The sequence below is a fragment of the Homo sapiens genome, chromosome 10 (assembly GCF_000001405.40).
Source record: "Homo sapiens chromosome 10, GRCh38.p14 Primary Assembly".
NCBI classification, from domain to species: Eukaryota; Metazoa; Chordata; class Mammalia; order Primates; family Hominidae; genus Homo; species Homo sapiens.
Window position 1 is genome coordinate 3,648,152 of NC_000010.11, and position 21,786 is coordinate 3,669,937.

The 21,786-nt window shown below is 45.9% G+C and overlaps 1 long non-coding RNA gene across 1 annotated transcript in view, besides 2 other annotated features; it reads left to right on the top strand.

The window, feature by feature from the left end:
- LOC105376360 (uncharacterized) overlaps positions 1 to 21,786 on the top strand; it is a 432,070-nt gene that overhangs the window by 329,457 nt on the left and 80,827 nt on the right. The window lies entirely within an intron of this gene.
- Positions 562 to 1,062: an enhancer, noted in NCBI's record as "H3K4me1 hESC enhancer chr10:3690905-3691405 (GRCh37/hg19 assembly coordinates)". NCBI's record gives its function as "activates a minimal SCP1, AML or CMV promoter by ChIP-STARR-seq in primed H9 embryonic stem cells {active_cell/tissue: H9 hESC(primed)}" and the evidence as "EXISTENCE:reporter gene assay evidence [ECO:0000049][PMID:30033119]".
- Positions 20,192 to 20,693: an enhancer, noted in NCBI's record as "H3K4me1 hESC enhancer chr10:3710535-3711036 (GRCh37/hg19 assembly coordinates)". NCBI's record gives its function as "activates a minimal SCP1, AML or CMV promoter by ChIP-STARR-seq in naive H9 embryonic stem cells {active_cell/tissue: H9 hESC(naive)}" and the evidence as "EXISTENCE:reporter gene assay evidence [ECO:0000049][PMID:30033119]".

Below are 21,786 nucleotides of genomic sequence, written 5' to 3' on the forward strand. Positions count from 1 at the left end.
AACTCAAAAGACTGAATTATTTCAGGGACCACCCTAATTCATACTTGAAGCTCAGGCATAGATACAAATAACCTCAAAAAATACGTTTATACTAAATGGTTTCTCTATTAGATTTACCTGTTCCTTCAAGTTGCCTGTCCACAATAAGGCATCTGTGTAAATCTGAAGTTACTCTGGAAATACTGCACCCTGCTGAGAGTGAGTATTCACGAGGTGTGGGAGAACAGGCTCCCAGCTTGAGGTCTGTGTCCTATTTAATCACCCTGCTTCAGATGTGATTAAAAAGAAATCCAAATATAGTTGCTGCTGAGCTCAGCCAAGAAGAAAGGCTCAAGGAAGAAGTCCTTAGAAAACATACTGGTGAAATTATTTGCGCGAATGCAGCCGTGTGGTGCAGTTTCCATTGTAACGTGGTGGTCAACCCTTGAAATTAAAACCTGCCTTTGGTGTTCACCTCACATATACACACATGCACACACACGCACACACACAGGTGCATGCATGCATGCCATGCAGACACATGCACACACATACACACACCTGAATGTGCACACACACACACGCGCACACACATACCCATGTGTGCCCACCACACACAGACACATGCATGCATGCCATGCAGACACATGGACACACATACACACACCTGAATGCACTCACACACAGACATGCACACACGTGTTCCTGCCACACACACATGCACACACTCAAGCTCACATGCACACCTCACCCCCACACACATACATGTGTGAACATGCATGCACACACGCACCAAGTATCCACTGAGGAAACCTGCGCAATACCAGATCTGGAAAGAGAAGTGTCACTCACAACCAATATCAGAATCGTGATCCTCGGTGCACATGAGTCCAGGAGGAACCAGGCCTGACAAGTTACCGTGGGATTCACACTGGATCTTCATAAAAACTGTCTCCAGAATGAAACTAAGCCAAGGCATCCGAGTCATCCATCTTCTGTACCCTCTCTGATTATTTTGTTTGATGCAACTTACCACTTCATGTGATAATTTCTGTGGATGCCTACACATAAATATTTTTTATGTAAGTCAAATTTTATTATACATCATACATTTCTACAATTGTAGTACCCCAAATCAATGCACTGAAACCACAGCTTGTACTTGAAGTAAATAAAAGAGCAGTGTGACAGAGAAATGGGACCTTTTTAAGGTTTTCTAATATAGTTTTTCTAAATTTTACAAACTAACCTTTTTCCATTTTCTGTTTTATCCAAACCCATCCTGCCCCTAAATTAATTATACCATTTTACACACATACACACACACACACACACACTAGATTTTTTTTTCCTTCCAAATTAATGACTATGACTTTTTGAATCCTCCCCTCCACTCCCCACGGGACCCTTGCCCCCCCACTCGCACACAGGTCCTCGGTATCTTTGGTCCTCTCCTCTGCTCATGTGTTTTCCCTTTTATCCCACAGCATAATTTGTTTTCTTATTGTTAATTTTATTAATTTATAATATTAGGAAAAAGCACAAAACTAATACAAATAAGAAACTTACAAAATTATTAATAATTTTAAAATCCCAGAAAACGAATAGAAATAGAAGTTGAAATTTGTGACTTGCTACATTCTAGGCACTGCGCTGTGGGTTTTGTTAAAGCTAACTTTAGTTAAGCTTTGCATTAGTCTTTCAAGGTGGGGAAGATGACCCATGTTCTACAAAGGAAAAGCTGCTATTTAATTATCAGTCTACTGCCCTGATGCTTCCTTTTCTAGAAACTGTTGTAAAGAGTACAACTATATCCCATTGCCCTCTCTCCTCACCCTTCATTCACTCCTTGGTCCCCACCATTCTACCGAATGGACCTTCACTGTCTATGTACTAATCTTCAGTTCAATAACCTTCTCTTTAGGTACCATCCCCGCCTCCTCCTATTTTGAATGGAATCCCCTTTCACCCTCTTGAAAGCCTCCATTCCTTCTTCTCTTCTCCACTTTCTTTTGGTTTTCCCTTTTCTCTGATCTTTCCTCTCCCTCCCAACTTGAGTCTTCTGTCTGCTTCCTAAAAGCATGCATTTGCCAAGGTACTTTCTTTCTCTTCTCGTTTTCAATCATTTCTGAACATTCTCAATAACTCCAACTGAGAATCATCTACACTGCGGGCCCTAAGGGCTCTCCTGAAATTCAGACCCTATTCTTATCTGCCTGCAAGATTTGGCCAAATGGAGGTGGTGTAGGCACATCAAATTTCACATGTGCGAAGCTTCCCTTCCAGTTGGTTTTAACAATGCATTGCCTGATGTGGTCAATAACATCACCAACTACCAAGCAGCCAAGGTAGAAATCTCCAAGTGATCACGTGTATTTCCTCTTTTGCCAAATAGCCCAGTCACAATGCATCCTGCGGTACTGTTCGTCGGTTCATTCTGCCATCCCTATTCCACTGTCCTTATTCTAATTCGAGCCTTCAACACGTCCTCAAACTCCCCCAAATCAGCTCTGAACCTCATTTTCCCATCGAAGTTAACTGTTGTGCCACCAGCAAAGGTCTCTTTATCTCATTCCCCTTTTTGAAAACTTCCTATGTGTCACCTTGATTTCCAGAATAAGATTAAACTGTCCTAATTAGTCATTCAAGATTCCCTTCACTCAGCTCAAAGTCCAGATTTTTACCCATTTTTTTTTGTATAATAACTCCTGCCTTATTTTCTAACCCTATTGTGTAGTTAAAATAGGCTGGCCATTGTTTTAGTATCTTATTAGTTTTCCTTGCCTAGAGTATACTCAATTGGGTATAGATGGGGTTGTGAGAAATTTCATCACAAATAATGATTTAACTCTGAAGCTAAACAATTTGCAGGTATCTATCTATCTGTTTATCTATCCAGAGAGAGAGAGAGAGAGAGAGAGAGAGAGAGAGAGAGAAGAGACAGACAATCACCTAATCACAACCATTCAGTAAAAACAGATGTATGATTTTTTTTTCTTACTAATACACACAAAAATAACCCTGGTAGATTTTAGATTTTCTAGGTGAAAGAAAAAAATTCAATACATCATTTTTGGTCTTTATGCTTGTTTTGTTGTGCTTTTTGATAAATTTTACAGATGCCTATTTATTTTGAAATGGATGGTCAATAATCACCACAACCACCCATTTTCATTTCTCTCTCTTTACAAACAAATGCAGTCCTTTGTTGGGGGTGAGTGGGCACCATTCTAGCCACTTGTTATTAGAGTCATCAAGCACGCTCTCCTAGGACAGTTTAAAAATACATGCAAAACATCAGTAAGGTTATGGAATAAAGTCTATCCTCATCAACCTGTTCTAATGTCACCATTCACCTCCTGGGGGACACCTTGTAAGAGCCAACAGACCTCATGACCCCCTTAGGGTCAAGGGTTCAATATCTAAGTTACCTGAAGTTCAACAAAAATTGCTTCCCTAAAATAGGGACTTTTATCTGAATCAAAACCACGTATGAGAACAAGTATAGGTGTAGCATATAGGTAGAAAGTATCTATGTGTTTTGCAAGACTTTTCTCCTCATTAAGAACACAGCAAAGCCTGCTTGTTCAGATGCTTCTCTGTGTCTCTGTGTTGTCAGAAGTAAGGATGTTCCCTTTCTCCAGATCTTACGGAGAAAGCTCTGCTTCAGGGAGAAGGGCAAGACGAGGTTGGAGAGTGACCTTCTTGCTTCTGCTGTTTTCTCCAATGCCAAGGTGCCATATTTGGGGTAGCCTGTCCTGAACGCATCACTGCCTGACTCCCTCTGACCCTTGGTGTTGGCATTAGGCTGCATTGCATGTAAGTTATGCAGAGCAGTTGGCCTGAGATTTGATCAGTGTAATGTTGATCTTGTGGAGATGACCAAGGCATGGAGGTCATCCCATACACAAGCACTTGGGAAATGGTGAAGAACCTGCCACAGGAAGTGGAACGCAGGCAGTGCCGACAGTGACTCTTTGCTGAGGGTGGGGAGGAAGGACCAACGCAAAGTGTGAGACTGCAATGGTCCAGCAACTGAAGCAGAGTCATCAAGGCCCAGGCAGAGCCAGGCCACCAGGAGGCAAGGCAGAGCCCGGTATGGCATCCCTGGAGCAGCATCAGAGTGGGCCTGGCACTAGGGGATCGTGCATTCCCACTGGCCACAGGTGCTTTCTGTTGCAATTACCTCTGACTGGTATGTGCTGAGTCTACAGGTGAGCTCTGAGTCTACGGGTGAGCTGAGTCTATAGGTGAGCTCTGAGTCTACAAGTGAGCTCTGAGACTACAGGTGAACTGTGAGTCTACAGGTGAGCTGTGAGTCTACAGGTGAGCTTTGAGTCTATAGCTGAGCTCTGAGTCTACAGGTGAACTCTGAGTCTACAGGTGAGCTCTGAGTCTATAGGTGAGTTCTGAGTCTGTAGGTGAGCTGTGAGTCTACAGGTGAGCTCTGAGTCTACAGGTGAGCTGTGAATCTACAGGTGAGCTCTGAGTCTACAGGTGAGCTGTGAGTCTATAGGTGAGCTCTGAGTCTCTAATTTTAATCTACTCTGCGAAAGACACTGGCTGTGAGCACAGGACACCAAATAGGTGGTTGTAGCGTGGCTATTCTTCGGTAAGCTTTGCTTGCTGCTTTCTTGGCTCACATTTTTTCCAAAGTAGGGTAAATATTAAATAATAATACAATGTAATATTATAATGTAATATATAATATATATTTAATAATATAATAATTAAAGACTTTGCTTTAAACCTCTTTCCTTTAACATTCTGGGCACCTGATGGCTATGTATGAATAAATCTAAATGGTGACGGTGCCTACACAAAAACGTTCACACAGAAGAGGAGATAAGATCACGGGAAGATGAAAACAAGACTTGCTTCGATAAACGGCACTCCAGATACGGTTTGGCACTGTTAGATGACTCGGCTCCCCAGCCCCATCCAGACAGCTGCACGGGCTCCGGGGCAGTGAGCTCCGCTTTCCTCTGCAACATCGCTTCACCACAGCAGCGATGTTTTCAGGAAAGACTTGCAGAGAGATCTCTAGCTTTCATTTTCCAACACGAATTTATTTCCAGTTCCAACCTCAAAGTTTCCAAGTGAGGCTTTTATTAAGAATAATGGTATGTTGCCAGAAAAAGTAACCCTTGAATTATGAGGGAAATTTAAGAAAGGAGAATATAATTTTTCTTCCCTCTACTATTTATCCATCCAGTACTTCTCTACATTGTGGAAGAAGTCACATCTCCACCACAGACAGAAGGATTGCTCTGGGAAGAGCCCTGATCTAACTGTAATGGCTTTCTTTTCTTTTCTTTTCCTTTCTTTTTTCTTTTCCTTTCTTTTTTTTCTTTCCTTTCCTTTTCTTTTCTTTCTCTCTCTTTCTTTCTTTCTTTCTTTTTTCTTTTTCTTTTTTTTCCCGAGTTTCACTCTTGTTGTCCAGGCTGGAGTACAATGGCATGATCTTGGCTCACCGCAGCCTCCACCTCCTGGGTTCAAGCAATTCTGCTGCCTCAGCCTCCTGAGTAGCTGGGATTATAGGCATGCACTACCACATCCAGCTAATTTTTATATTTTTGGTAGAGATGGGGTTTCACCATTTTGGCCAGGCTGGTCTCGAACCCTAACCTCAAGTGATCTGCCTGCCTCAGCCTCCCAAAGTGCTGGGATTACAGGCATGAGCCACCATGCCCAGACTTTTTTTCTTTTTTTTTGAGACGGAGTTTAGCTCTGTCATCCAGGCTGGAGTGCAGTTGTGTGATCTCGGCTCACTGCAAGCTCCACCTCCCGGGTGCAAGGGATTCTCCTGCCTCAGCCTCCCGAGTAGCTGGGATTATAGGCATGTACCACCACACACAGCTAATTTTGTATTTTTGGTGGAGGTGGGGTTTCACCATGTTGGCCAGGCTGGTCTCAAACCCCTGACCTCAAGTGATCTGCCTGCCTCGGCCTCCCAAAGTGCTGGGGCTACAGGCATGAGCCACCGTGCTGGGATTACAGGCATGATCCACTGTGCCCAGACTTTTTTTCTTTTTTTTTATTGTTATTTTTTGAGATGGAGTGTCGCTCTGTCACCCAGGCTGGAATGCAGTGGCACGATCTCAGCTCACTGCAAGCTCTGCCTCCCGGGTGCAAAGGATTCTCCTGCCTCAGCCTCCCAAGTAGCTGGGATTATAGTCATGCACCACCACACCCAGCTAATTTTTGTATTTTTGGGAGAGATATGGTTTCACCATGTTGGCCAGGCTGGTCTTGAACTCCTGACCTCAGATGATCCACCTGCCTCAGTCTCCCAGAGTGCTGGGATTACAGGCGTGAGCCACAGCATCTGGCCAATGTGATCGCTTTTTCTTAAGACTATTGGTCATTCCTTTTTTTTTATTTTTCCTGCAGACCTTATCATGATGCAATGCTCCATCCTAAAATGCTCTCTCCCATACCTATGCAGCAAATGTTACGTTTTGATTATTTCCCTTTGCAGTGAATATTGCCAGACCCTCAGAGATCATCTGCATGTTTGGCGGTGTGAGCAGAGGTTGCCACCACTGTTCTTTTTGCCCTAACTGTTCTGAGTCAGCTGATAGGAATTCTGATTCTATGCTCTTTTGCCAAGATGGGAAGCTGGTTTGGAAGACTTTTGGATCTATACATCCCAGAATACTTCTTCCCTATTTAGGTATATCAGTCATTTTATTTCCTACTAAGAATTATTTGTATCATTCAGAGTTGCCAAGCACAGAACATAACTGTGAAATCCCAAGGTTTCTGGAAATTTTTCAGATAGGAAAGGGGGACAAAATGAACCAGGCAGCCAAATTTCACTCTTTGCTCTTTGAAAAGCAAGAATGTTTCTGCCCTCTTTGCTTCTTTTTCCTCTCTTGCAGCCCTTTCTTCTATCTCTAACCTGTTGATGTTTCATAGAGTATGATTTTTCTCTGATAAGCATACACATGACCAGGGCACTGGTTGAAAGAGTAAGGTCTTAACAAACTGAGTCCTCCAATGCAGCACAGAAAGTTATCACAAACACACACACACACACGTGCACATACACACATATACACATGTGTGTTTATGTGTATATATGTGTTTGTGTGTGTGTGTATAAGAGAGAAAAGGAGAGTGAGAGGTGAAGAACATGATTTAGCTGGAGTTGAATGTTCCTCTGGCAAAAGCAGAACTTAGTGAAGACTCTTTCTCTCCTATGCTTATTCAACTCTGGACTTCACTTAAACTGAAGAAATCATCATTAACTTAGTTTTTTATTCTCCACACACTGGCAAAGTCCTTAGTAAGTATCAGACACTGCCCAAGACCCAAGAGCTGCACCGCTGAATAAGCGAGGTCTCGAATCTGGTAGAACTTCCATTAGAGGGGAGAAAGATGAACAGCACACACAAATAAAACCTTTCATAGCAGAAAGGGAGAGGCAGTGTGATGAAAACACCACAGAGTGATGGGACGATGAAGATTCCAAGGCTACGTTAGATTATATGGCTAGGAGGGGCCTCTCTGAGGAAGCCGCAGAGAAGCCGAGATGTGGCTGACATGAGGAAACCAGCCGTGTGCAAAAATGGAATGAAGTCATTTAAGGAAGAACAAACACCTGCAACTGCCCTGAAACAGGAACAAGCTAGAGTTGTTTGAGATACATCAAGAAGCCCTGTGTGAATGGGGTAGGGTGGATGCTAAGCTAGCTGGCAGGTGGCGGTGAGGGGGCCCCTTTAGGTCAGGGTGGGTAGAATTCCTTGAGAGGATACAGGAAGAGAGTGAAACCACCGGGTTAAGGTTTTCCATAGCTCACCCCAGCTGCTGTATGGAGAACACAGAACAGAGAAGAAAGGCCGCATGGAAAGCCAGTGCCGTGGTGCAAGCATGATGCTGTGATGGAAAGAACGACGGAGGGAGGTAGCAGGATGTGAGCTGGGTTTTGGAAGCTCCCAACTTAGGGTCTTTCACTTCAGTAACTGTAGACATTGATACATTTACTGGAATGAGAAGGCAGAGGGGAAATAGAATTCTGTTTGGGATATGTCAAGTGTAAGACGCCCATCAATATCTGGATCGATACCCCAAGTAGGCAATTGGATGAAAGTGTTTGCAGGCAGGTCAGGAGTAGAGAGAGAAATCTGAGAGTCACAAAATTCTGGAGTATTTAAAGCTTTAGAATCAGAATCAAAAATGGTAAGTGGAGAAAAGCAGGGATTCCAGATCCAAGTCCTGGGTGCACCAGCATTGACAGTGGGGGCAGAAGGTTGGTGTTGAGAGCCAAACAGAGCTCGGTAACACTGTGAGCTGTCAAGAATGTCCACTCGTCTAGCTCACCAGCCAGCTTTATTCATGTCATTGTCCTTCTGCCAATCCTAACATCAATGAGATGTAATGGCGGTGATAAATATGGATGTATTCATGTCTCTTTGTGCAGAAAGCAGAGATTGTTGCAGCATAATATTTTTAAAAAGGAGTAGGTACCAAACATTTTATCACATTTCTCTCTAAACTATTTTTTTTCTGCCTGGTGGAGAGTAGGCTTTTGTTTGTCAGTTTGTTTTGTTTTTCAGGAAGGTACTGCAGGCACCTAATTAGAGGAGACGGTGATACGTTTACAAAGTATTAATGGAGCTGTCTTTTCCCGCCTTACCGTGAACAAGCACTTTTTCTTGTACTTAAGTTTAAAATGTCTTTCTAGGAATAGAACAATTGCAAACACTGCAAAGTGCGAGTAGGAGGGAGGGGATGGTGAGGAGGGGGAGGCTGCCTGGACTCCAGGGAGTAAACACTGCAAAATGGGAGTGGGAGGGAGGGGATGGTGAGGAGGGGAGGCTGTCTGGACCCCAGGGAGGTGTCATGGACCCTGTACCATTTAATCCATCCCTCTCTCATTTCCTATTTAAAATACTAAGAATGAGTAAAACATACAGGAGAAATTTAGAGAAAAGAGAGTGGAAAACTTTAATTTTTAGAGTTGTCAATGAAAACATGTCTTCTTTTCTAAGGGACAAGAAAGAAATCAATCCTGGGTCATTGAGCTGGAATTTAAACAGAGCCTCAGACTACATGGATTGTTCTAGATAGCATAGCCTGTTAACTTCATTCCAAAATGATCATTTGGTTAAAAACACTTATGAAAACAATTTTTGGTGGCCTTGGCCTCAGGACTGATTGGCTCACTCCAGAAAATCCAGCAGGTTAAACATGTAAATCAGCCTTGGGGAGGTGTTAGGAAGCAAAAACTCCAAGCCTGGTACCTATGTGGATGGCGGTTTATGGGTTTAGGACATGCTTTGAGATGAATGTATTGGATTCTTAGACCCAACTCTTTTGATCGCTGATTTTTTGATGGAGAATATTGCGTCTTCCTAGCTAGCTTGATAAGTGTGGGGATGTCACGTCTCCTTAGCAATCCGAGTTATATGGAATAATCTAGAACAATTTAAAATGCTGCCTCATTTTTCCTGTAAGCAAACTTTATTCTTCAATAATAAGTACAGGTGGTTTTTGCCGGTTGATTAATTCCTTGGTCTTTACTCAGGGTAAGTACTGAGGGAGGAGGATTGTGTAGGTGGGATTGGGCCATGGTGTGAGTGTGGATGTTCTGAGGGCGGGAGAGTATCTCTGATTTGGAGCCTTTGCCAGTTTCCATAATGGAAGACTCCAACCACGGCCAATTTCAGGCTCTCGATATCCTGTGTTCCATGTAAAAGCTTCATGGGTCAGAAATGTCAACATTCAGCCTTCGAAAGCCAGTAGGACACAGGGCAGAGGTAGCTGGTAGGGGCCAGAACTGGGTAGATGGGAGTCGTCATCAAAGAAATGATGACCCGACCTCACATGCCTAGTAGGTCAAAAACATTTCATTGAACAAAATCTAATGGTGCCTCGTTTTCTTTCAAAAGCAGCGTTTGCATAATAACTGGTGCGCTCATGAATGCCCATTGGAAGACTGGGGAGAAAATGTAAACCCACAGGAAAAAGCATGTTTAGATGTGAAAGAAAGGCTAGTTTTTTTTTTTTCTTTAAAGCCAATTGAGTATAAAAGCGGTTGATAACTCCTAGAGTAACTGTTTGTAGTCCTTGCATTTAGAGATGGGCCACCGCTGTGCCCTTTCTCTAGCCGGAGATAATTACAACACAGTCTCACCATTCCTCCCTTCAGAAAATGATTATAATAAAATATCAAACCTGGAGGAAGCTCAGAGTCTTCAGAGATTTTCCATAACCTGTGCCTTCAGGACACAAAAACCTACATGGCCAGACAACCAGAAACAGGACTTATTTTGAAAGATTTTTCAAAGATTCACCCACTCTGTCCAGTTTTAAATGTAAAACCACATTCATAGGCAGGAAATCCTTTCCTGTATCTAACCGTGGTGTCTCATTTTTTGTGTGTTTAATTAATTCCCTTTGTCTCTTTTCTAAATGAGGGAATTATCCTCCCATCCCTAAGTATAATTAAAGATACTGAGAAACCCTATTACTTCAGATCCCACTAATTCACAAATTGTGATAATTCCAACAAGGCCTGGACTGCAAAAATAATTAGATAAGCAAATAAATGGGGTAAACAAGCCTGTAGGTCACCTTAGAGGCCTTCACTCTATACCTGCCTTCCAGTGAAGAGCTGCCTGGACCCTTTGCTGGGGAAGTGCTGTCTGGACAGACTCACCCCTTTACCAGCTCTTTTGCCATTGAAGAGAAAGGCTGTTTAGAGACCTCTGGAGATCCCTCTTTGGGAAATCTCTTTCGGAACTTTATCCCTCCACCGCCTGTAGGAGTCTGGGTCCTCACCCTGGCTGGGCCTTCCTCTGTAGCCTTGCTTCTGCCTGGAGGAAGGCCAAAAAATCCCAGGAAGTCACTTTGTAAACAGGAGCTCTTTCCCTCCATTCATGAAAGCAAATACCTGAGCGGCTTTACTGTGGGAGAGCTGGGGTGGGGACCTGGAGGCACTGCTGTGGGCAGTCAGTTGCATTTGTGTTCCAAAATTCAGGCCTTTGTGATCCTGCGAGGACTTCTGTCTTTGTTACTGTTCAGCTGTATTTTGTCAGGTTCCTTCGTTCATTGAATCATTCTTCATTGACTGCCCACTCTGGTGCCGGACCCCAAGGATATATTACATAGACAAACTATATACAGTCCTTTTAATTTCATTTAAATAAATTTTTAACAATTAAATAGTGCTCACTACTTGCGGGCACCGTGGCAAGCACATTAACAGTAATGACTCGTTTAATTTATGCTCCTCAGTGAACTCACAGAGTCGCGGAGCAAACAGCTTACAACACAGAAGATTCAGGGCGACATCCCTGAGGGAGTCAGGTGCAGTCCGGGAACATGGCGGGGCCACTCCCGCATGAGTCCTAAAGGATAATAAGGAGATTTCAGGTGAATAACTAGGGCCATTTGCAAAGCAAAATGGAAAGTTGGTGAGGCTGGAGACCTGATGTGTCCTGTGAAAGGAAAATACCTTGGGCCTCTTCACTAAGCTAAAAAGAAAACTCAAGCTGGGAACTGCTCAGGGCAAACATGCCTCCCGTTGTATTCATAGCCATCCCTCTACTCACTGAGATAGATGCATATCTGATGGCTTCCTTTGCAAAGGCTTATCAGAAACTCAAAAGAATGCAACCTTTTGTCTCTCATCTACCTGTGACCTGGAAGTCCCCTCTTGGCTTCGAGTTGTCCCTGCCTTTCTGGATGGAACCAGTGTACTTCCTACATATATTGATTGATGTCTCATGTCTCCCTAAAGTGTCTAATACTAAGCTCTGCCCCGACCACCTTGGGCACATGTCGTCTGGAGCTCCTGAGGCTGTGCAAGGGTACACATCCTCAACCTTTGCAAAATAAGCTTTCTAAAGTAACTGAGACCTGTCTCAAATTTTCAGGGTTCACAGTACCCATGAAGGAAACAGAGATGGTTGTCTAGGACTCCAAATGCTCATTTTGGTTTGGTTAGCTGGATGGAAAAAAGATAAGGCAGAAGCAGCAAGGGTGCAGCCAACTAGCTCTTAAACAAATCCAGGTGAGGAGAGATGGCAAGCTGAGAGGTTAAATGACATCAAGTGATATAAGATGGAGGTGGGAGGCCAGGTGCAGTGGCTTACGCCTGTAATCCCAGCACTTTGGGAGGCCGAGGGATCACCTGAGGTCGGGAGTTCGAGACCAGCCTGGCCAGCATGGTGAAACCCCATTTCTACTAAAAATATAAAAGTTAGCCAGGCATGGTGGCACGTGTCTGTAATCCCAGCTACTGGGGAGGCCAAGGCAGGACAATCGCTTGAATCCGGGAGGCAGAGGTTGCAGTGAGCTGAGATGGCACCATTGCACTCCAACCTGGGCAACAAGAGTGAAACTTCATCTCAAAAAAAAGAAAGAAAGAAAGAAAAAGATGGAGACTGGAGACAGGGGGCTGGAGTCCAGAGAGCCCAGGAGAGGGAGGTCGAAAGTCAGATGGGGGCAGGAACTTGGGGAGGACCTGACTGTGGGGGCCTGTGCTGGTTTCTGTGATGACTTGGACTCTGGATAGAAATCGTTATGGGTTTGCGCAGGGCTGTGTGATCTGCTTTTCATTCACATTTTTTATCGTCCTGCCTGCTATTGTGAGAGGATACTGAGGGGGCAAGGCAGAATCAAGGACACAGCCAGGAGGCAGTCACTGCTCTCTAGGTGGGAGATGACAGGGCCTGGCCTAGGGCAGGAGTGGTGAAGGGGTGGGGGTCGTGGCCAGGTGCTACACAGTCCCAATTAGTGTCAGTGGGGTTGGCTGGCAGACTTTATGTGGGATATGAGTGGTTTGACCTGAGAAACCGGAAGGTCTGGCTTCCACCCACGTAGGTGGTCGCTGCAGGAGATGCGGGCTTGTCAATTTCCAGAGTCGCCTGTGGTTGCAGCTGCCTGGTGTCACCTGCTGTGTGATTCACTCCCCTTCCCCCTTCCCTGTAGGCTGGACCTGTGAGTTCTTCTCACCAACAGAATACGGCAAAAGTGACAGGACTAAATGCTTATGCATACATGACTTATGCTTATGCATAAGACTGTAGCTCATCCTGTTGGAATATTCACTCCTGCCAGCTTTGAAGAAGCAACTTCCCATGCTGTGAGCAGCCATTATGGAAAACAGTATGGAAGTTCCTCAAAAAACTTAAAGTAGAACTACCATACGACTGACCAGTCTATCTACTGGGTATATACCCAAAGGAACTGGAATCAACATGTCAGAGAAATATCTGCACTCACATGCGCCATTATTCACATCAGCCAAGACATGGAATCGACCTAAGTGTCCAGCAAAGGATGAAAGATAAAGAAAATGTGGTGCATAGACACAAAGGAATATTATTCAGCCCTGAAAAGGAAGGAAATGCTGTCATTTGTGACAACATGAACAAACCTAGAGGACATTATGCTAATTGACATATGCTATGTGAATTAAAAATTATGCTAAGTGAAATAAGCCAGGCCCAGAATGGTAAATACCACTCAATCTCACTGGTATGTGGAATCTAAAAGTTGAACTCATAGAAGCAGAGAAGAGAGGCTGGTGCGGGTACAGGGAAAATTGGAGAGATGTTGGTCAAAGGGTACAATGTTTCAGCTAGACAGGAGAAATAAGTTAAAGATCTATTGTGCATTATGGTAACTATAGTTAATAACAATATTTTGTATGCTCGAAAATTTCTGTTAAAAGAAAAACTTTAGCCAAATTAAATTTAACCCAGTTTAGTTGAGCAAAGAACAATTCACAAATTGGGCAGCCTCCCAAGACAGAGGAGGCTCAAAGACTCCAGCGCAGCCATGGGGTGGAAGATTTATGGAGAGAAAACAGAAAGGAAGTGAGGTACACAAACAGCTGCATTGGTTACAGCATGGCATTTGCCTCCGTTGCACATGGTTTGAACAGTTGGCCCCCTTTGCTTGGCAAAAGCTCAGTGATTGGCACAAGAGTAGGCTACAGTCTGTTTACATCTCCATTTAGGTTTTAGTTCACTACGTACAGAGAAACCTTTAGGCCAAACTTAAAATATGGAAGGAGGCAGCTTTAGACTAAACTTGATTTAACATTGCTAAGAAGGTGGGTTTTAGGCATTCTCACCACACATTATATGAGGTAATGCACATGTTAATAGCTTGACTTAGTTATCACTCAGTGTACACATATGTGAAAACATCACATAATACACCATAGATATAGAGAATTTTTACTTGTCAATTAAAAATAAACAAAACAAAAGCACATTGTTTTAAGTCACTAAGTTGGTATTAATATTGTTATGAAGTGATGGATAACAAAGATGTCAGGAGAAAGACTGATTTTGTCTTGAACAGATCGAGTGTGAGCCACAAGAGATTCAAGCAGAAATGCAAGTAGGCGAATGGATGTAGGGATCTGGGCTTCAGGAGAGAGGTCTGAGCCGGCTGTATCCCTGTGGGTTCAGCAGCTGTGGAGGCACTAAAAGCCATGAGAATGCATGAGACCACCAGGAAAAAGAGATAAGAGATCTGGGGTGTTGTCCTAAGACCTTAGAGACCGGAGGAGGCCCCAGTGGGATTGGAGAAGGAAAATCCCATGTGGCAGGAGGAAAACCAGGAGGGTGGCTGCATCGGAAGCAATGGGAGGAATGGGATTTGGGGGGAAAGAGTCATCAACTCTGCCCAGCACTGCTCATAGGTCCAGGAAGAAAGGGCACCATGTCTAGGGCTCTCCATCCCTCAGTGCCACTCGCCACCCACCCCACAGTCCTGCTACAGACCTCTCATCACTCAGACCTGGAACTCCTCATGACCTCCATCTCAAACCTTCTCTTTTCTTTTCTTTGCTCTTTTCTTTTTTTTCTTTTCTCTTCTCTTCTTTTCTCATCTCTTCTCCTTTCTTTCTTCCTTCCTTCCTTCCTTCCTTCCTTCCTTACTTCCTTCCTTCCTTCCTTCCTTCCTTTCTTTCTTTCTTTTTCTTTCTTTCTTTTTTTTTCTTTCCTTTCTTTCTTTCCTTTCTTTCTTTCTTTCTTGACGGAGTCTTGCTCTGTAGCCCAGGCTGGAGTGCAGTGGCACGATCTCAGCTCACTGCAGTCTCAACCTACTGGGGTCCCACCTCAGCCTCCTGAGCAGCTGGGATCACAGGTGTGCACCACCACTCTCTGCTAATTTTGAAAAGTTTTTGTAGAAATGGGGTCTTACTATGTTGCCCAGGCTGGTCTCAGACCCCTGGGATCAAGTGATCTTCCCTCCTTGGTCTCTTAAAGTGCCAGGATTATAGGGGTGAGCCACCACACCCAGCCTCTTTTCTACACTTGCCTTCCTCCATCTCTAGCCCCTTTCCTCAGCACACCTGTCCTGCTGATCCTCAGACACGTTGACACCTACTAACACTGAACTGGCGTCTTTCTACTGCACCTTGCTCTCAGTTTCCCCTTGTCCAGCTGGAGTCATCTGTGTCTGTCTTCTGTCCCAGCATCTGTGTGGGTACACAGCTCCTGCCTCTGGGAAAGGCCAGGCCAAGTGTGCATCCCACCCCAGCCCCACACCTTCCACAGATGGGGCCGCAGCATCCATGTGTGTGCACAGCTCCTGCCTCTGGGAAAGGCCAGGCACAGAGTGCTTTCCACCCCAGCCCCTCACCTTCCACGGATGGGGCCGCAGCATCCGTGTGTGTGCACAGCTCCTGCCTCTGGGAAAGGCCAGGCACAGAGTGCTTTCCACCCCAGCCCCTCACCTTCCACGTATGGGGCCGCAGCATTGCTCCCTCTCTGCAGGGTCAGGGCATCTGACATCCTCTCCAAAAGAACACTGTGGTGTATCTTTGTGTACATTGTTGTGTACCTTATAATTGTGTATTTAATTATACTTACACTTTGGTCAGTGGAGTAGGAGTGTTGTAAATACTTTGAATAATGGTTTTCTTTAAGAATCAAGAGGGCCAGTTGCGGTGGCTCGCGCCTGAAATCCCAGCACCTTTGGGAGGCCAAGGTAGGAGATCACTTGAGGCCAGAAGTTCAAGACCAGCCTGGCCAACCTGGCGAAACCCAGTCTTTACTAAAAATACAAAAATCAGCTGGGCATGGTGGTGCACACGTGTAATCCCAGCTACTTGAGAGGCTGAGGCAGAAGAATTGCTTGAACCCAGCAGGCAGAGGTTGCAGTGAGCCAAGACCATGCCACTGCATTCCAGCCTGGGTGACAAAGAAAGACTGTGTCTCAAAAAAAAAAAAAAAAAAAAAAAGAATTAAGGATGAAGTTATGCCTGAAATTCTTCAGTTATAATAAATCAGTTCTCTTCTTTCCCATCTTGTCATTTTCTTCAGAGAACTTGTCATAATTTATAAGATGCTGGTAAATAATATAAATACGTTTGCATGTTTATTTATAGAGTCTGCACCCCCATTCGACTATAAGCTCTGTAGGTGGGGAAAGTGGCATTTTTGTCTGCTACTCTGGGCCTGGTACAGTAGGTGACACCTCGTGGATATTCCATACCTGCTTGTTGATAGAATAAGCAAGTGAATCCATGTTCTGCAGCAGTCATGAAGACCTTTGCTTGGAGATCAGCCTTCCAAAAGGGATATGGGATGAGCCAGGTGGCACTAATGACCTCCAGCTCTGCCCTGAGGCTGTTCAGAGATCTCCTGATGGATGCTGCCGGGGCCTTTATTGAAGCACAACGAGCTTTGCATGTAGTGGCGTCTGGAGGGTGTTTCAGGATCGCTCCTTTGAGCACACGGGGTGCAGCGAGGAGACTGCGGCTTCTGCTCCTGGGATGTGGGCTCCTAGGGCTTTCCACTGGCATCAGGTGGCCACACACCGATGGTAGCACTGACCAGCATAGTCTCAGCATGAGGCAGCTGGTCCGAGGTGCAGCTTAAACCTTTCTCAAGGGAGGTGCCAAGGTGCCACCACTGCTGGAGCCCAGGAAGAAGTGTGTGAATACTTTTCAGCCATGAAATGAAGGAAATCCTGTCGATTGTGATGACACGGATGGACCCCGAGGCGACTACGGAGCAGTGAGCATCCCCAGATACCGCCCAGCCTGGGAGGAAAAGGCTCTGTGGTCTATTTGCCTTATGTCATAAATAATGCTTATGACATAAACCTCCATGCCAGGCACGGTTTTCTGAAACTGGCCTCAGTCATCCCTGTCCCACATTCTCTTCTGGAAACGCCCCCTCCCCCATCAAGACGCAGCCTTGGACCACTCACCCCTTGCATTTGGGAGGGCTCATGGCTCACAGTCATGGTGGCACGAGAGGCTGAGCTACCCCAGGCAGGTGAGAGATGCTGCAGTGTCTGCCTTGTTGACAGCACGTGAGCTGTGGGCCCTGACGCCCCACGCAGACATCACTTGGCCTCTTGAACCGAGCCAGTGGGAGCCAAGGCCATGGAGAGGGCGCTCCCAGTGTCCCCCAGTGAGAGTCGGCCAGGCTGCCACGGCAACACATCACAGGCCGGGAGGCTTCAAAGATAGGAACCTGTATTCTCATAATTCTGGAGTCTGGGAGTCCAAGATAAAGGTGTCCTCAGAGTTGCTTCCTCCGGAAGCCTCTCTCTGCAGCTTCAGACGGCCGCCTTCTTGCCATGGCCTCACAGGGTCACCCCTCTGCCTGTGTCTGTGCCCTAATCTCTCCTTCCAAAGACACCAGCCAGATGGGACTAGAGTCCACCCTAGTGACCTCACCTCACCTTAATCACCTCTTTAAAGCCCCCCGTCTCCAAACAGTCCCATTCTCAGGCACTGGGGGACAGGACGTCTGCACATGGATTTGGATTTTGGGGGACATGATGCAGCCGAGCTGAGGTCCCAGACAATAGCAGCATCCTGCAGCCATGAGTGAGGTGGGCAGTTTCCTGCGGAAGACTCCAGCCCTGGCCCTGGGGCCACCAGACCCTGAGGACCAGAGAGAAGTGGTCGCTCTGTGCGTGCGGGAGCTCCTGGCTACAGAACCCGTGAGCAGAATACGGTGCATGTTTGTGACCTGTAGTTCTGGGCCCCTGGATGCTGATTATTCAGCCATGGTCACTGAAATACCCTCAGCCTGGGAGTTCTCATATTATCTCAACTAACCTTTGCGCACATCAAGGTGCCTGTCTCACGGATGAGGACACTGAGACACACAGGATTAAATAAACTGCCCAAAACACACAGTTGCTAAGTGGTGACCCGGACTTGAACCCAGTCTGGCTGACTCCCGAGCCGTTCCCCCCGTGGAGGAGGTCTCGGACAATGCCTGACTCCCGAGCCGTTCCCCCCGTGGAGGTGGTCTCGGACAATGCACAGAGACTCGGTGTGGAAGACCCGCGCCATTCCCACAGGCGTGTCCTGCTCTTTTCGGGACTGGCTGCAGAAGAGTCCCTGCCTGCAGCTCACCCAGCTCAGAGGATGCTGGTGAGGCCACGCCTCTGGCTGTTCCAGGCAGACCCAGCACCCATGTCAGGAGCAGCCAGTGTCTCCCCAGGACGGCAGATGGAGGCAAACCCTGGTGTCTGAGTGGCTTCAAATAGCTGTACACCTGGAAGCCTCAAAGTGCAGGGAACACGGCAGATGGGGGCAGGTGGATGCCCAGGAAGCTTCACCACAGTCACCTGGCTTATTTGCCCCGGCCGGGCCATTCACAAGGCTTGCTGCTGAAAAGGAGTAGGTAGGCTCTGCCCACCCAGCTTTGCACTGCAGGGCTGGCTCCAACCCACACAGGTAGGCAGCCTGGCAGAGGGGAAAAGCCAGCTCAGTCACTCTTAACCGCACTTGCCTGCTGGCTGCTGCTTCTTTTTCTTTTTCTTTTTCTTTTTTAAGAGAAATTGATTAAGCATTTTTCCTTTTTTCCCTGTTTCTGAAATATATTTGGAGGATACACTATTTCTATTCTGATACTCTCTCCTTAGAGGAAAAAAAAAGTTATTTTTCACCTATTGATGCAGCAAAACGGAACCAGAAGCAGGAGTTCCAAGCCAGCCGTGCCTTTCTCTCCACTTCCTTCCCTGGGTGCAACCACAGCGGCGTGGTAGTGACTGTGGATAGTAAGTTCCTGCATTGTGGCTCTTCTGCCCCGCGTCGAGGGCTGAGCTCCCTGCTCTGCCGATGTGCTTTGCCTCCTGGAAGCTTCAGACATGGAAGCCATGTTCTGCCAGACCAGGAGAAACCCCACTTTCATCCCACGTCTCTGGTTATCAGAGCATCAAATCCAAGTTTGACCTACATTACAGGGCAAGTCGGTCATGAGCACACACTGGACCATGACAAATTGATTGTCGTGACTTTATTGATGTCAAGGGGGATACAGTGCCACGATTAATAATTTACCCAACAGAGAAAAGCTTTTCTTGTCTCTGTGATGCCGGAGAGCCCAAGGTTTGATTGTTCCAAGTCCGAGCACTAAGGAGGGAGGTGCTCACACTTACAGCTCAGGTGAAAATCCACAGCAGAAGATTCCTGGTAGCCTCCTCTCTGCGTGCCCACAAGTCGTCGAGGCAGAAAGTGAAGTTTGTTCTCTTATAACAAACCATTTGGACAGACACTTGGTTTTTCTGTTCTCAGAATTTTTTCTGCTCTACCCAAACTAGGGGTTGGCGTTGCATAGGTACCATGGGCACTTGGGGAATGCCTGTTTCGTTTCATTACATTGAGCGGTGATAAGAAGATTCAGACACTAATTGGCATTTTCCCCTAAATCTCCATGGAAATGCAGTCTCTATTCCAGGGCACCATGTACTGCGAGGACTTTATACTCGCCCTCCGAGTGAAAGGAGAATGAAGGAATGAATACAGAGGTGGACAGGGTCATTTCTGTCCCATAACTGCATATTGTGGACATTTTTCTTTTCTGAGATGGAGTCTCGCTCTGTCACCCAGGCTGGAGTGTGGTGGCATCATCTCAGCTCACTGGAACCTTTGCTTCCCGGGTTCAAGTGATTCTCCTGCCATGACAGGCACCCACCACCATGCCCGGCTAATTTTTGTATTTTTAGTAGAGACGAGGTTTCACCGTGTTGGCCAGACTGGTCTTGATCTCCTGACCTCGTGATCCACCCACCTTGGCCTCCCAAAGTGCTGGGATTACGGGCGTGAGCCACCGTGCCCAGCCTTTTGTGGACATTTTAAACAGCAGGGAAATTAATCCTGAGCAATAAAAAATAAATAAATAAATAAATAAATCATGGTTTTTATTTGAATCTTAAAAAAACAAAACGAAACATGTTTTCACTTTTTTTTTTCCTTATCTAATTTGGCTACTGCTTCACTTTCTCTGCCACCTCTCTTACTGCAGTTTCAACTAAATGACTAAGCAAATTAGATCTTGAGTTGCTTTTCTGGAATGCGGAGAGTTGGAGAATCAGATAAAAGTCGAGGTATCTCTCTCTTCAGCAGCTTCCAGATCGGGGGCTGGAGCTGAGCGGGGGTGTTGTGCAATCCCGTACTGTTGTCGAGCAGGCTTCAGTTCAGGGAGACCAGGCAGGCTGAGGCCCAGGAGAGTGCCCCCTTGCATCTGCCCTGGGGGAAACTCTAGAAGGGGTAGAGAAAATCCGAGAAGAAAGGATATTTTTACACGGTAGGATTGTATTTTTATCCCCGGAGGCTTGCTGAACGCAAGTTTCTGGGTAAGTTACACAATACAGGAAAAGTAACTGTTTAGCGTATAGGTGATACGTGTTGGAGGCCAGAGCGCTCTGCAAAGCCCCGCCCCTGTGTGTGTTGTGTGGTCTGAAAACAAAGAGCAGGCATCACCTTCTGGAGGTGAGGCTGGCCCGGGACTCAGATGGCTCTAACTCTGCGGGTCGCCTGCCCAGAGGCTGCACTTCAGCCGGCGGGGAAGCCAGGATGGATCTTAAGTCATTCGATTCTCAGGCCATAGGTTGTTGCCAAACTGCAGCCTGGAAAAATAGTCTATTGATTTTCTGAGTCAAATAAAGTTATGTTAATGTAGAATTAAATAGATAGTCACATAGCTGTAACATCCCCAAAGATGGAAATACTACACATCAAATGTGCCTGTGGTCTCTTTGTTCATCTGTTCCTTCCTGTTCTTACTGCTATCAGAAAAAAACATACCTAGCATTGCTAAATAAGGCTTGAGAAACAAGCGTGTTTTGTAAATAGCACATCTTCGTACAAACTCATATAATATTTTCAAACCCTGAAGTCGCTTGCATTTTTCTTCGCTATTCACAGCAACTCTGCAAGATGCTCCTCACATTGGGTTTAAATTGTGACATCATATCCAAATTATGTCCCCTTGGGCAACTCAACTAAACTCTTTTCCCCGTTTCTTCATCTCTAAATTGGAATGATAATACAAGCTTCCTCAAATAAATCAAAGTGAGAATCAAACCAGCCTGGCCAACACGGTGAAATCCCGTCTCTACTAAAAATACAACACTAGCCGCGTGTGGTGGCGGGCACCTGTAATCCCAGCTACTCGGGAGGCTGAGGCAGGAGAATCACTTGAACCCAGGAGGCAGAGGTTGCAGTGAGCTGAGATCGCATCATTGCACTCCAGCCTGGGTAACCAGAGCGAAATTCTGTCTCAACAAAAATAAATACATGAAAAGTCAGGTTAGGTATGTGGGTGCTAAGAACCACATGCACATGGAACTGCTTGCCGCTGTCTCCGTTATTTACTAGAGGAAGACACTGATATGGCGCCCAAGCCTATCGCTGGTCTGACCTTTTCACACCATCACAGAGGGGATATGAGGTTGGACGTGTTCTCCCTGCCAGCCTTGCCTTCTTGCCGTCACAATCATCCCTCTAGATATGCCTGCAACAAGGACCCAGAGTCCTAGGTCTTGGCGCCTTTGCTGCCGCCTCCCTGGGAGGGGTCACCCGGC